Genomic DNA, 15,392 nt, shown 5'->3' on the forward strand with positions numbered 1-15,392 from the left:
GGCATGGTAGCTCACACCTGTAATCCCAGAACTTTGGGAGGCCAAGGCGGGCGGATCACTTGAGCCCAGGAGTTCGAGACCAGCCTGGGCAACATGGCAAAACCCTGTCTGTACTAAAAATACAGAAATTAGCCAGGCATGGTGGTGAATATCTATAATCCAGCTGAGGCATGAGAATTGCTTGACCCCGGGAGGTGGAGTTTGCGGCGAGCCGAGATTGCACCACTGCACACCAGCCTGGGTGACAGAGCAAAACTTTGTCTTACAAAAAAAAAAAAAAAAAACAAACAAAAACAAAAAAAAGTGAAATTACGTAAAGGTGAAAACTGTAAAAGATCAGGAAAAAGAAACCAGAGAAGATATCAGATTGCTCCACAAGTTCCCACACTCTATTTTATAATAACTAAAGATAGGCAAATATTTTCCTCAACGATCAGATGGTAAATATTTTTAGCCTCTGTGGGCTTTCTGTCCCAACTACCCAGCTGTGCCACTGTCACAGGAAAGCAGCCACAGACAGTACGTAAATGAGTGGCATGCCTGCATGCCAATACAACTCTACCTGCAAAAACAGGCCAACCCCAAGCAAAATGGAAACTGGAGATGACGCACTATTACATGGTCAATGAAAGCGGCACAGCAGACCTGAACACAGAGATCGGAGCATGCATTTCCATATGCTGTGCTGAAAATTATGCTGTTCACATAGCCCACCTGGCTATTTCCCACTGTCCCCCAAGGCCAGACTGCAGGGTAGGATACTTCTACTGTAACAGTCGCCTCAGAAAATATATAGCAGCACAGCAGGGACACTTCCCTACAAGATCTGCACCAAAGAAACACCAGTGTGAGGAAGACAATGTCTGCAGCCCTACTCAAGGCAGTTTACTCAACATATCATCGCAAACTTTAACTAAAGTAGCAACTACACATAAAGAATGCAAGGCTAATCTCCTAACACAGCTTAGACCTTACAAAACTTTTAACCGGGAAATATTTTAAGGTCTGCAACTCACTCAATAATAGATATTTTAAAATGACGAGATGTCAAACTGAAAGCTCCTTGACAGCAGGAGCCTTTCAGATGAGGCCATCTTTGCTCTAGGACTCACAAAAGCAGAAACAACACGGCTCTGACAAGGTCTGTCCCGTCAATGGCAGCAGGACCGACATACAGGGAAGTATCTAAAATGATTTTTCATCTTTCACCTAAGAAATGCCCAAAAGTCACTCAATTACCAATCTGCCATTCAACTTCTGCAGGAGAGAAAGCAAGCTGACAGGTACCCCTGCTGATTATAACGGAAAGACTCCACAACGCCAGAGACACACAAGATGCCAAGGACAGACCACCACAATACTGAAAGACGAGTCATTTCTAAAATATTAACATGACTTTAACCATCAAACCTCATCAGGTACCCTTGAAAAAAGGATGATCTCACTTAGGAACACAAACATAAAACCAAAATTCAAAGCAAGCAGATACCGTAGCATCAGACTACAGAACACAGAAAGACTTAGCAGGAATTACCACAGGGAATCAAGAGTGGCCGAACGTTAAGAAATGTAATAATACTAACCAGAGACAATTCAGAGTGTCAATCATCCCATTTCAACTCTCATTCTTAAAAAATAAAATGCCCACACAGGAACGGCGGCAGCTGCTAACCAGCTGAGAGGCCTCAGGCAAACAAGCCCAGTAACCACCCGGGCCTCTTCCCCAATGCCACTGAGCCCCACACCCACTGGGCGACAGGGTGGGTGGCCTCGTGAGGCCCACTGTACTCATCTCACTTCCTCCAGGGAAGCTGCCATGCGTGTCCTCGTGGGCCTGTCCAGGGTGGCGAGAGCTCTACGTACCGTTCTCAGTGACAGCCAGGGTTTGAGCATCCCCACTCCCACACGCCACATCGATGACCTTCAGTCCTTTAAGCCCGGCTACCAGCATCGGAATGGCCTCGTCCTCACTGGAGCCTTCAAACAGATAGGACGGCGGTTACTAAGTCCTGTAAGAGGCCACCTCCTGCTGCATGCTCCCACTCATGCAGAGCAGACGTACCATGGCCCAGCCGGCCGTAGTTCCCGCGGCCCCAGGTGTACAGCTCCCCCTCGGCAGTGATGGCCGCACTGTAAGTGCTCCCGCAAGCGATGTGCACCACGTGCTTCCCGGCCTGCTTTCCAGAGAAGGCGGAGATCACCTTAGGCTCCTCCAAAGGCCTTGGGGAGAAAGGGAACAAACATGAATGCCCTTCTTCTTGGTGTTATTTCTTATTAATGTTAACAAAGGAAATTCACTATCCAAATTTAGACCAGCATAGCATCAGGCCAGTTTCACCTTCCAGGTACCTTGTGAAAGAAGGAAGAGAGAATTCCAACACCTAACACCTCCATGACTTTTTGTTCAGTTGGAACCCGATGCCAAACATGGTACCCAGTAGAAATATAAAAATAGTGTTTGTTAAAGAATTGTACAATAGGCTAGGCGCGGTGGCTCACACCTGTAATCCCACCACTTTGGGAGGCCGAGGTGGGCAGATCACCTGAGGTCACGAGTTCGAGACCAGCCTGGCTAACATGGTGAAATCCCGTCTCTACTAAAAATACAAAATTAGGTGGGCATAGTGGAGGGTGTCTGTAATCCCAGCTACTTGGGAGGCTGAGGCAGGAGAATCGCTTGAACCTGGGAGGAGGAGGTTGCAGTGAGGTGAGATCGCCCCATTGCACTCCACCTTGGGTAACAAGAACAAAACTCCATCTCAAAAAAAAAGAGACTTGTAAAGTCCACTGCAGCTTTATTCACAATGTCCCAAAACCATGGTCCATCTGCAACAGAAGGAATGAATTACCCATACACCCAACCCAACATGGCTGGATCTCAAGACATCTGCTAAGTCAAAGATGCCAGAAACAAAATACCATACACTGTATGGCTTTGTTATATTAAATTATGGAAAAGACAAAATAATAACAACAGAGGGCAGATCAGAGGTTGTCAGGAACTGGAGGTAGGAAGGGGGCATCAACTCAAAGGGTACAAAGAGGGCCCTGGAAGCGATGGGAGCGCCCCATGTCTTGATGGTGGTGACCCAACTGCGTGCACTTGTCAAAACCCATCCAACTCTACATCTGAAACTCAGTCATCTGGTTGTATGGAAGCCTCATAAAGCTGACCGACATTTATATGTATTTGTTAAATGAATGTGGATGGAATGAAGCCAGCACTCTGCAATCTATACTTTACAAATGAAAAGTATGAGGCAGTGGGGATTAGGGTAGAGAAGTCTTACTAGTTGAAGAAATTTCAAAGTTAGCAAAATACCCTATTCTTAGGATCCAGAATATGTTCCTATGATGGATGACATTTTCTTGAAAATCTACAGAAGCCAGGCCTCTCCTTTACTCACTTTGTGACCTACTAGTTTGCAAAATACACACAGTGGCACAGGTGCTCACAGGGACAGCCCAATGACTCTACTCCAGTACAAACTATCCCTTATTCAGCTTAAGTTTCAATTTCCCCAAAAGGTTATCTCCAGCTTCTGCCATCTGCACTCATCTCTCTTCCTTCCTTGAAGTCCTAGAATAAGGCGTAAGTTACTCATCCCAGCACTTACTCTCCACTGAGAATTGTTTTACTATGAAATATTTTATAGAAAGTCAGTTATAAATACCATAAAGGAAGTAAGCAGACATACCACCCTGTCCTGTACCTCGATGCCTTTCAAGTCCCGTGTACCCCATGTCAATCCCAGCCTTTACAATCCAGTGTGAGAGTAACAGCTATAAATTCCATGGAGATCAATCTTTTCTTTTTCACTCGTCTTAGATTTGTCTGAATCCCTTACAACACTGTCAGGGTTGGGCTGTTCTGAGCTTGGCATACATGTACCACACGATACGCATTACTCTGCTTTTCTCCCAGTTTGGGATCTTCCCAGCGGATGCTGTCGGCAATGATGCCCTCAACTCCACCCTGTGGTGTGCATGGGCCATGCCCCCCAGGCTCCTCTCAAGGGACACAAGTGCAGTCATGACTTCACTCATTTCAAGCTCTGCACTGCCCTCTCCCTGCTCAGGGCTCCAGCCCACAAGAAATGGGCTTGCTGGGTTGGTGTGTACATACATCCCTCATTTAAACCTAATGCCAAAGTTCCATGCACAACAGCAAAGTACAAGAGGGTTCCCATCACTCCATGGGGCTGGCAGACCTCCCAATTTTTACAACCTGGCATTTATAACAACTTTCTGTTTCATTTGTTCTTTCACAATAAAAGGTTCCACTGAGTAGGATAATATTAGGAAGAAACTGCTGACTTTTGTTCCTGTAAAAATAATATATGGTTCAAGAAAAGGGTGACAACCTTATCTATGAGAGACAGGGTGAACTGTTTGTGAATGAAGGAACAGTGGTGTGGGATTTGTTTTGGCAAACTCCACAGTGGGGATGCAGTTTGAGTAGATAGAAGGCTGGCCAAGGCTGCACGGGGTCAAGAAGAACAGAAAGGCCAATTCCCGTTGCCCTCCACACATGGGCAGAGCTCCTAAGCCATCACCAAGGAGGAGGCATATCGTAGTGTCCTGCTCCATCCCAGCGCTACATGTCAGGGCAATTGGAAAACACCTGGACACACTTCTGCGCTCCATCCTGTTTAGGATATGGCAACATAAAAGGAGAGTGTGTCCCCTACAGGAATAAGCGATACATACACAGTGTCCCCATGGCCCAGCCGTCCGCCGTCCCCACAGCCCCAGGAGTACACCTCTCCAGTAGCAGCCAAGGCTAGGTAGTGGTGACCATCAGAATGGGCAGCAATTTTTACAATGTTTCTGGAGGCAAGGCCTTGGACCAGCTGTGGGGCCTAAAGAAGGAAAAATACGAAGAAAAGTAGTCATCAGTCCAAGGAAAATGAAACCAGCTCAGCTCTCCGTTATCATGTATCCCCAAGCAAAGCCTGCTGTAACTCCAAGTGGGGCATAAGTCTCTGGGAACTACGGGGCCGGCTCTCCAGCCCTTCCCACCCAGCAGCAACAGAACAGCGGGCAGCCTCCAAGTGCTCTGCAGCAAGACCAGAGCCGATGCAGGGGCAGGGCAGGCTAGCCCCATGCCACAGAGACACGCAGCCGACAGGGAGGAACACCTCGCTTTAATGAAAACATGCCACGTCCCAATTTGCCACTATCCCCACGAGGCCCAACTCCCTCACCTGTCACCTGTCTGGCCCCAACGTCAAATGAGTTTACACGTGGAAATGAGTTTACAAACGGGAATCTCACGATTAGCAATGAGTTTCACTGTAAGGACTTCCTAATCTTCACAACCCAAATCTTGACAATATTACAACTGAGATCATTAAACATAATATACAATAAACAGAACTTTGTCAATCTTCAGAAATCAAACGCCTTAAAGAAACACCAGAGCTTGTGCATCTGTAGGACAGACCCTGCCCCGCAAGGGAACACTGCAGGCACAGTGCCCAGAACACTCACCAGCGTGTCACTATTATAGGCCTGTGTGTACACGCGGCCATTGCGTGACAGAATCAGGAAACGCTTCTCTGCACAGGCAATCTGTGTGACTCCCAGGTTGGCCAGGCCTTCGCACTGGATTGGACCAATCACATTGGCATAGTATTTCCATCCTATTAACCCCCAACCTATGACCTCTTGCAATGATCCCTGTAAGATAAGAAAGTAAACATTTCCTTTAACAACAACAACAATAAAAAAAGGCTGGGAGTAACACTGAGCTACTACAAAATAAAAACAAAGCAAATAAAGAGAAAATATGCTGATTCAAAACATCAAAATAGCTCATACCAGCCTGTATTACCTCATTTAACAGGTAAGATGAAGCAACTGAACAGGTTATTTTTCCATTTCCATTGCATTTCATTTTAACAGAGCCCATTAAAAAGTACTATAAATGGCCCTTAAATACTAATATATTTTTAAATGCTCAAACTATATCAGGGTCACCATTTTGTGCTTTAGCAGGCAAAATCCCAAAAGCCCACACACAAGGCTGGGAGACCAGCATCCATGTTGGTGGTGAGAGAAATCAACTTGTACGGGAGCAATCTGGTGACAACCAGCCCACACTAGGTGCATCCCCACCTGTGCATGTGCACGGGCACACACACGTGCACACATGGAGGACACATGTTCCAGGTCAGGCCTTGCAGCACTATTTGTGTTTGTTTTTGTTGTTGTTGTTTGTTGAGATGGGGTTTCACGCTTGTTGCCCAGGCTGCAGTGCAATGGCGCGATCTTGGCTCACTGCAACCTCCGCCTCCCGGGTTCAAGTGATTCTCCTGCCTCAGCCTCCCAAGTAGCTGGGATTACAGGCATATGCCACCATGCCCAGCTAATTTTTGTATTTTTAAGTTGAGACAGGGTTTCTCCAAGTTGGCCAGGCTGGAGAACCCACTCTTTTTATTTATTTATAGATAGATAGATAGATAGAACCCACTCTTTTTATTTATTTATAGATAGATAGATAGATAGATAGACAGACAGACAGACATGTAATATAGATATATAATATATAATATATAACATATAATTATACTGTCACTACTATCACCAGCATTACATACTAAGACAGTCCGCGTTCAGAGTATGAAGAAGGCTGTGGAACCCCCTGCAGAAGGTGGGAGGGCCTGGGGCTGTGGATAAAGGGGAGCTCTCTGGGGCTGTGCCACCTGAACCTGGAACCCGGGCCCCCAGGTTGGGTCGCCAGGCCTGTGCGCCTCAGCTTGCTCATCACTCACTCTCAACACGGATAACACCTTCAACTGCAAACGCGTTTAAAAACCACAGGCCAGCTCCCCCTACCAATACCAGAAAAAGCAAGTCTCCACACGGGCCCAGGATGAGAACCTACAAGTGGTACTAGCTACAAAACACATGGAGAACACGGTTCTTGCACACACACCTTATGAGATGTCGGAGAGCTACACAGCGGAGGCATACAGGGCGTAGCCAGACGGTCTAAATGGGCCATGACAACAACCGCCGTTTGTCGCAGATCAATGGCAAGCTCGTTGTCTTGTGGAAGGGTGAGGTACCTCAGGAAACTCTCATTGGGGCTCAGAGGGCCAGACAAAAGCTAGAAAGGAAAAGTAAACAAAAATTCAGAAATGGTGGGAAAAATTAAAGTTAACACAATTAACCTTTACCCACGCTTTATATTTTGGTATTGACTCATTTGACCCATCAAATGACAATGTCAATGATACAGTTATACTATACATCTATATATTTATGCAGCATATAAACTGACTGTGTAAATGTCTAAATTTGCTGTACACGCATACACAACATTGACTGCGCATGTATACATTTATGATACCACAGGTAAGATGGATCCACACAGATTACTAACATGACCAAACCACCCTACAGGCCTAGGACCCCTGGAGAAAGGCAGAACCACCTCTGTGGGAACCCAGCACAGCATCTCAAGCTGGCCTTGAAATCTAAAACCAAAACCTTTATTTTAATCTAAACGTTGCCCACTCTGGAGAACACCTACTTTCATTTGCAAATTAAATCATAGTTCTAATTCTTCTAAAGGCAGAAGAGCCCTATTATCATTAGTTTAAAGACTGCCAAATAATAGGCTGGGCATGGTGGCTCACGCCTGTAATCCCAGCACTTTGGGAGGGCCAGGCAGGCGCAGGCGGATCACAAGGTCGAGAGATCGAGACCATCCTGGGTAACATGGTGAAACCCCATCTTTACTAAAAATACAAATATATTAGCTGGGCTTGGTGGTGGGCGCCTGTAGTCCCAGCTACTCGGGAGGCTGAGGCAGGACAATGGTGTGAACCCAGGAGGCCCAGCTTGCAGTGAGCCGAGATCACGCCACTGCACTCCAGCCTGGGCGACAGAGCAAGACTCCATCTAAGGAAAAAAAAAAGACTGCCAATAATAGAAAAATTAAACCAAAGCACGATATTGGAATGCCTAAGACTTTCCCAAAAAGACTGGCAAAATCCAACTTGTACTTGACATGTAAAGACCAGCAGTCCTGGAGGTTTAGGCCCAGGGCCCCGCACGCCTGCTCCTCCCTCAGCTTGTTGTCCACACCTGTTAAGGCGGGAGCTGGTACCAAACAGAGTGACAGCTCAGGTGACGTGCCCTGCACAGAGCCCAGTACATAGGAAGGACCAACAAAGCAGGCCGCTATTTTCGTTGTTCTTTTCTGGTATTTATTTAAAAGTGAATGTTTCAAGCTTGGTTTTGTGCTGACAAGGAAGTCAGTGCTCACTGATCCGAGTCTTCTCCACAAACAAGTGACCTCCCACACCTGTCTCATCTGACTCGCTGCTATTACCACCAAACACACACACGCCAGAGAAAAACACTGCCGTTGACATGCATGCTAGTCTTGCTTTAAAAGTAACTAGACTCGAGTGCCACCTAAACACAAAGTTCCATCATGACACTCACGTGCATGTCGCCCTCGGAGTGGGGTGCATCCTTCCTGCAAATGATGCTCTGGAACCTTTGCAGCAAGGGCAAAAGTGGGGCGCTGGTGCCCTGGGCGGAACGCTCATTGTCAGTCTCCTGTGCCCCGCTGTCCCACAGCTGAAGCAACAACAGGATGGCAGACAACATTTGGCTAAAGGAGAAAAGATATTTATTCTAGTAAAAACAGATTAACTTCTTTTCTTCACAGTTGATCAAAAATAAAAGCAAATAGCTGGATAGAAGTGAACAAATACTTGGGATTTGAAAGGAAACTAAACTAAAGCCGTGGTAATTAAATCACTGAATTGACACCAAGACTTTAGCACAAGACATCGCCTTCTGCTCATAAGAAAGACCAGTTAAGAAGCTCAAAGAGCACATTTACATGAAAGTTCTAGGATCTTAAATTCATGGAATAAAAATAAATAAATGAAGAAAACTGAAAGAAAAAAAAAAAGAACAGTTCCCAGGCTAGAACACTGAGCATAAAACAGGAAGTGAAGAAAAGGTAAAGAGAGAGAGCCCTGGGACATGGTTCTCCGTACAGAGTACCACATCTGCTGCGGTCACAAACGATTCAGTGAAACACACACAATGCAACAGGTATTTCCATACACAGGCGCTTCCCCAAAGCGTTCCCGTCTGCGGCAGCCCTCACCTCAGCGTGCCTCTCTGCACAGCCAGCTCCAGCAGGATGGCCAGGGCCAAGTGCTGGTCCTGCAGGGGGATGCTTCCTGGCCCTTTGGTGGCTGGCGTTCCGTGAACATCCCTGAAATGAAAGCAGTGGATGCAGGAACAAAGCAACCTCCAGAAAGACAGCATGCTTACAATCACACTAACACATTTACTACACGCTCCCTCCAAAGGAAGGATGTATTTTTAATATTTAGGATCAAGTTTCTGATACTTGCTACTCAAATTTATTCAGAGATTATAAGTGTACAATTAGCTTACACAACTATATTTTATTTAAAGTGTTCACTCAGATACTATATTACAGTAGATGACATACTCCATGTATATGAAGCATAAAATAATTTATCTCATTATCAAAAACATAAGTAGAAGAATATCTAGCTATCTTTTCCAGTTTCAATGACGTATAAGACTATACCAGTATCAGCATTTATCTACAGAATTAAAGAACCAATTTCTAAAACCACCTTAGAATCTGGAGGCAAAATGTCAACACTAATTTCTATCTCTGATCAATGAAATATTTTTAACTTTTCTATGTTACTCAATAATAAATTTTCTAAAATTCTATCCTAAGACTGCAGAGAAAGGATCTTATGGTATCAATATTACAGCTGAATTTGTGAAATCAACTCCAAGCCTATGCTCAGGGCCTCCAGCGTTAAAACTCTGTGGTGATGCCTTCACCAGCCGGCTCAGGAAGTGGACTCAGAGCCGGGGACGCAAACGCCAAAGGCCTCCTGCTGGCTGCAAGAAGGCACAGTGCTGACCTCTGCAAGGAGAGTGAGGAGTGGCCTCACTTTCCCTCTGCATCTGTCCTTCCTGTTGAATTTTATATTTTCTTTAAATTTAAAAACCTTAACAAAAATGCATAGCACCCAAGACCAGAGTTCATGTTTTTCTTACACACAAATGATTCCTATTCAAAATTTTTTACACTAAAAAGATCAGCTACAGGACTAAAGAATTTGATCTTGAGTAGTTGTTTACTCCCACATTATCTATAAGACTTCAAACCAAGCACCACTCCGCACTCAGAACAGCAGCTCCTAATCATCACAGAGAGACACACAGTGTAAGCACTCAAACCTCTACGAATGACTGATGGCCAAATCTCTAAGCATTCTCTCTCATCCGTCTCATTTAGTATCACAGCTTCCTGGGTCTAGTCAGAGTATCATAAATCAAATCGCCTGAAAAGCTGAGAACCCAGACCCGGAATCACAGCACTGACAGCCCGCTGAAAACAGGTGAAAAACCAACCTACTAGGCTTCTTAGCTCTAAAGCAAGGGTGGTAAGAACCAGCCTCAAGCAGGCCAGCTGTCTGCGTGCAGAAGGCAAGAAAGGAAAGAACTCACCCCGTCACGACGGACCTGAGGAACCTGGTCGCTCTCTCCACCACCTCCAGCCACACAGAGGACACGGTGCTCTCGTCAAAGAGCGAGGCCTCGGGAAGTGCTCGCAGGGCGTCCAGGGACTCCTGCAACAGCTCACTGCAGAGGTCCGCATCCTCGCCTGGGCGCACACACGCGTCAGAGGAGCCCCCCCACTCCCCTCACTCTCCCGCTGGGCTTCCCACCCCTCAGCGAGAGATGACGCCACTGTCACCTTTCCAATCCCTCACTCAACAGGCCAAAATCTAGCGCAGCTGCTCCAGTCAATTCTGTGTTTCACGGCTGTCACATGAGCAATACACTAACTTCTTGTCCTTCTAGAATTAAGTCTGTACTCAGGTGTTCCATGGTAGTGGTTGACGTGGGGGTGGGGGTGCATACACTCTCTTTTTTTTCTTTAAAGCACAGATGTGAAAAGCCAAACAGCCTCTGCAGCCTCTCATCTCACAAGCAAGGAAACTGAGGCACAGAGAGCACATGGGATCAGCCAAAGGGCACATGGTGGCTGAACCGAGTTCGAAACCCAGTCTGTTGATGTATTAGGGAAGCAGAACAACGCGCCACACCAGGGACCGTACCTGATCGCCAGGCCCTGCGCAGGAAGGCAAAGGCAAAAGACAGCGCCGCTCGGGATCCCACTCTGGCGAGCCCCTCCACACCTTTGCCCGCAGGCCGGGAACTGCAGACGACACACACGGAACATACAACCAGTCAGCAGCAGAGGGTGCAGATACTACATAAAATCAATACTATGAAAGGGTGTGTACCAAAATCCGACCAATGGTTTTCTTCAAGTGACAGGATCACAAGTGGATTTTTCGTTTTGTTGTTTAACAACTTTCATCAAATGTCTTTTGTAAAGGAAAAGTTTTCTCTTTAAGAATCAAAGAAATGTATAAGGAATTTTAAATGTCTTGGGAAAATGCTCAAGAAATGACCTCCCAAAGTGAGATTCTACTGGGAGGAAGCAGACGATAAGGAGATAAATACATAAACGGAGGGAGAATAAACCCCACATGGGAGACCAGGCCGGAGAAGAGCTGGAAGAAGAGCAGCAGAGCCGCAGAGGGTAGCCTGGCTCGCCCCAGCTCCGGCGTCCTCCACTCGAGGTCTGCTCCTGGCCGCGGGTGAAGCCCTGCGTGCTTGACCCACCCTATGGGGCATTGCCCTCTTCTGACGGTGGTGCTCATCACCCTCCTGTGTCTATTTAAGCTTTTCACTACTTGTGTATGTTAATTTCACAAGTCACAGTTTCATTCTGCATGTTCTAAAAGGTTATGCATATGGTACACCATAAAAATCATCCTGTACAAGAGAGAAAAGGCTAGAATACAAAAATGCATATATAGGGGAGGCTGAGGCAGGAGAATGGTGTGAACCTGGGGGGTGCAGCTTGCAGTGAGCCAAGATCGCGCCACTGCACTCCAGCCTGCGAGACAGAGCAAGACTCCATCTCAAAAAAAATAAAATAAAATAAAATAAAAATGCATATATAATCTCAACTCAATCATGCACAGCAAGTAATTGTATGTTATACTTTATACTATATCATGTTTCTAATATTACAGTATTGCTACTATAAACTATATTCTCCAAATTTACTAAAATTTGCTTTCATGATCAGGGGAAATCCTATAAAAACAGGTGATACAGAGTTCAAGACCAGCCTGGCCAATATGACGAAACCCTGTCTCCACTAAAAATACAAAAATTAGCCAGGTGTGGTGACGGGTGCCTGTAGTCCCAGCTACTCGGAGGCTGAGGCAGGACAATCACTTAAACCTGGGAGACAAAGGTTGCAGTGAGCCAAGATCGCACCTCTGCACTCCAGCCTGGGAGGCAGAGCAAGACTCCATCTCAAAAAACAAAAAAAAAAAAAAAAAAAAAAAAAGAGGGTTGTTATAGAAGGATCTCCCCAAGATACAATATGTAATAAAAATGGCAATGAAGAACACGGCTGGCCAGGGGCAACAGTACACGCTTATCCACAAGTGCCTGAATAATGCACCGGGAGCTCAGAGAGGAAACACAAGAACCTCTGAGAAGGGCACTGGGTACCTGGAAGATGGAAATCTTTGCTCCTAAATGAGAAATACGAACATGACAAGACACAGACATGTAACAGGACACACAGTCCTTACAAGAGAAAGCACATGGGCCAAGTGTGGTCAGAGGAGGTGGGCCAGTCACTTTAGGTCAGGAGTTTGAGACCAGCTTGGCCAACATGGCAAAACCCCATCTCTACTAAAAATACAAAAATTAGCCGGGTGTGGTGGTGCATGCCTATAGTCCCAGCTATATGGGAGGCTGAGGCAGAATTGCTTGAACCTGGGAGGCAGAGGTTGCAGTAAGCCAAGATCGCACCACTGCATTCCAGCCTGGCCTGGGCGACAAAGCGAGACTCTGTCTCAAAAAAAAAACAAAAACAAAAACAAAAAAAAACTACTCAGCCATAATAAAATAATGATACATGCAATGACCCCTTTGGGAAAATGTTAAGGGGATTGTGCTGAGTGAAAAAAGTCAATATTGCTTGAGGCCAGGAGTTCCAGACAAGCCTGGGAAACACAACAAGACCCCAGTCTCTACAAATACAAAATGAGCTGGGTGTGGTGTCATGCATCTGTAGTCCCAGCTACTCAGGAAGCTGAAATGAGGTGACTGCTTGAGTCCAGGAGTTTGAGGCTGCAGTGAGCTATGATTATATCACTGCACTCCAGCTTGTGGGCATCAGGGTGAGACCCTGTCTCCAAAAATTATAATAATAACAATAATAAAAAATTTAAAAGCCAATGTCAAAAAATCACATAATAGGCACACAGAACAGATGAGTGGTTGCCAGCAGTTAAGGTGGGGAGAGAAGACGTGAATGTGGGTATAAAGGGCCCTTGTCCATGTACCAATTGCAGTGGTGGTCTCAGAAAATCCACACCTGAAAAAATTGCAAAGAAATACACACACAATTGAGAGCATGTAAAACTGGGAAAATCTGAATAAGATAGGCAGGCTATCAAAATTAACACCCTCGTTGTGATGACTGTGTCACAGTTTGCAACTGCCATTGAGGGCAACGGGACGAACAGTACAAGGAATCTCTATACTGGTTCTTACAACTGTATGTGAATCCACAATTATCTAAAAAAAAAAAAAAAGGGGCTTTTTTAAAATTTTAGGAATTCTTCCACTTAATGAAAGATACATTCCAATTAATTCACCAACCCTAAGTCATCACAAAGGAAACAGCAGAGAAAAATCAGCTGGGCTCTCAGCCATTTCTGCAGCTGAGGGAATTCAGTTTGATTCGACAAACACACAACAGTGCTTGGACAATCTTAGCACCTACCGCCGACCCGTACATAACACTGATTCATGACCATCACAGCCGGTTAGGAAGGAAGAAAGAACCATGGCACTCCTATTACCAAATGGGTAGGAATCTCATCTGTCTCTTGGTTTAATTTACCCTAAAACTATTTTCAAAAATACAACATGTACAGTCGTCCCTTGGTATCTGTAGGGGATTGGTACCAGGCTTGCCCCACCCTGGCTCCATACCAAAACCCTAGGATGCTCAAGTCCCTGATATAAAATGGTGTAGTATTTGCATATAACCTGTGCACATCCTCCAGTATAATTTAAATCATCTCAGCCAGGCACAGTGGCTCACACCTATAATCCCAACCCTTTGGGAGGTCAAGGCGAGAGGGTTGCTTGAGCCCAGGGGTTCAAGACCAGCCCGGGCAACATGGCAAAACCCAATCTATACAAATTAAAAAAAAAAAAAAATTGGCCAGGTATGGTGGCTCATGCTTGTAATCCCAGCACTTTGGGAGGCCAAGGCAGGCAGATCACTCGAGGCCAGCCTGGGCAACACAGTGAGACCTCAGCTCTACAAAAAATACAAAAATTAGCTAGGCATTGTGGCACACGCCTGCAGTCCCAGCTACTTGGGAGGCTGAGGTGGGAGAATCACTTGAGCCCAGGAGGTCAAAGCTGCAGGAAGCCATGATGGCCCCACTGCCCTGGGCAACAGTGAGACCCCCATGTCAAAACAAACAAACAAAAAAAAATCATCTCTAGATTACTATAACACCCAATACAAGGTAAATGCTCTGGAATTAGATGTTATATTGTATTGTTTTTTCTTTGTATTTTTTTATTGTTGTGTTGTTTTTTATTGCTTTTCTTCCAATATTTTCGATCCATAGTTGGTTGAATCTGTGGATGTGAAACCCACAGACACAGAGAGCCAACTGTAATGTGATTTCAACTATATTTAAACATAAGGAAACAAAAAAGGAAAACAAACACAAAAATTAAAACATAAGAAAACAAGGAAACAAGCTACAAGTACCGCTCCTGTCTCTGGGGAGCAAGACGATCAGGGTTTTGCTCTTGTTTCTTTCTGCCTCCCGTACCTTCTATGTGCTCTCTCCAGGGAGTCAAAGTCACTATCACAGTCAAATAAAGCCAGCACTCCTAACACAAAATATAAGTTTCATCTGGCAGTCTTGTAGTTTAACCTTCTGAGGACAAAAGTCTGATAGCTTCATTTTGGAAAAGTACAAATTTACATAAGCCTTAAACATTCTAGTGGCTGTTAGCAAATAGTGGAAATCTGTGATACATTAACAGGCATCAACAAATTAAAACTCATATGCCCAAAAGCATCTCTTTTTTTTGCTTCTTTTTGAGACAGAATTTCATTCTTGTTGCCCAGGCTGGCACAATCTCCGCTCACCGCAACCTCCACCTCCCGGGATCAAGCAATTCTCCTGCCTCAGTCTCCCAAGTAGCTGGGATTACAGGCATGAGCCACC

General features: G+C 45.4%; 1 protein-coding gene across 10 annotated transcripts in view; it reads right to left on the bottom strand.

Moving 5' to 3' along the window:
- HERC2 (HECT and RLD domain containing E3 ubiquitin protein ligase 2) overlaps positions 1 to 15,392 on the bottom strand; it is a 211,140-nt gene that overhangs the window by 152,715 nt on the left and 43,033 nt on the right. For 8 of the 10 annotated variants that reach the window (XM_006720726.4, NM_004667.6, XM_005268276.6 and 5 more), the window contains 9 exons: positions 11,151 to 11,251; positions 10,537 to 10,693; positions 9,140 to 9,250; positions 8,461 to 8,632; positions 6,941 to 7,114; positions 5,494 to 5,682; positions 4,711 to 4,862; positions 2,063 to 2,220; positions 1,864 to 1,977 (listed from right to left, as the gene is read on the bottom strand). In XM_006720726.4, the coding sequence (XP_006720789.1) occupies positions 1,864 to 1,977; positions 2,063 to 2,220; positions 4,711 to 4,862; positions 5,494 to 5,682; positions 6,941 to 7,114; positions 8,461 to 8,632; positions 9,140 to 9,250; positions 10,537 to 10,693; positions 11,151 to 11,251 (1,328 nt within the window). Of the gene's footprint in view, positions 1 to 1,863; positions 1,978 to 2,062; positions 2,221 to 4,710; positions 4,863 to 5,493; positions 5,683 to 6,940; positions 7,115 to 8,460; positions 8,633 to 9,139; positions 9,251 to 10,536; positions 10,694 to 11,150; positions 11,254 to 15,392 lie in introns of all 10 variants that reach the window. The other 2 variants (XM_047433207.1, XM_006720727.4) reach the window with 2 other exon arrangements.

This window comes from Homo sapiens, chromosome 15, assembly GCF_000001405.40.
Source record: "Homo sapiens chromosome 15, GRCh38.p14 Primary Assembly".
NCBI classification, from domain to species: domain Eukaryota; kingdom Metazoa; phylum Chordata; class Mammalia; order Primates; family Hominidae; genus Homo; species Homo sapiens.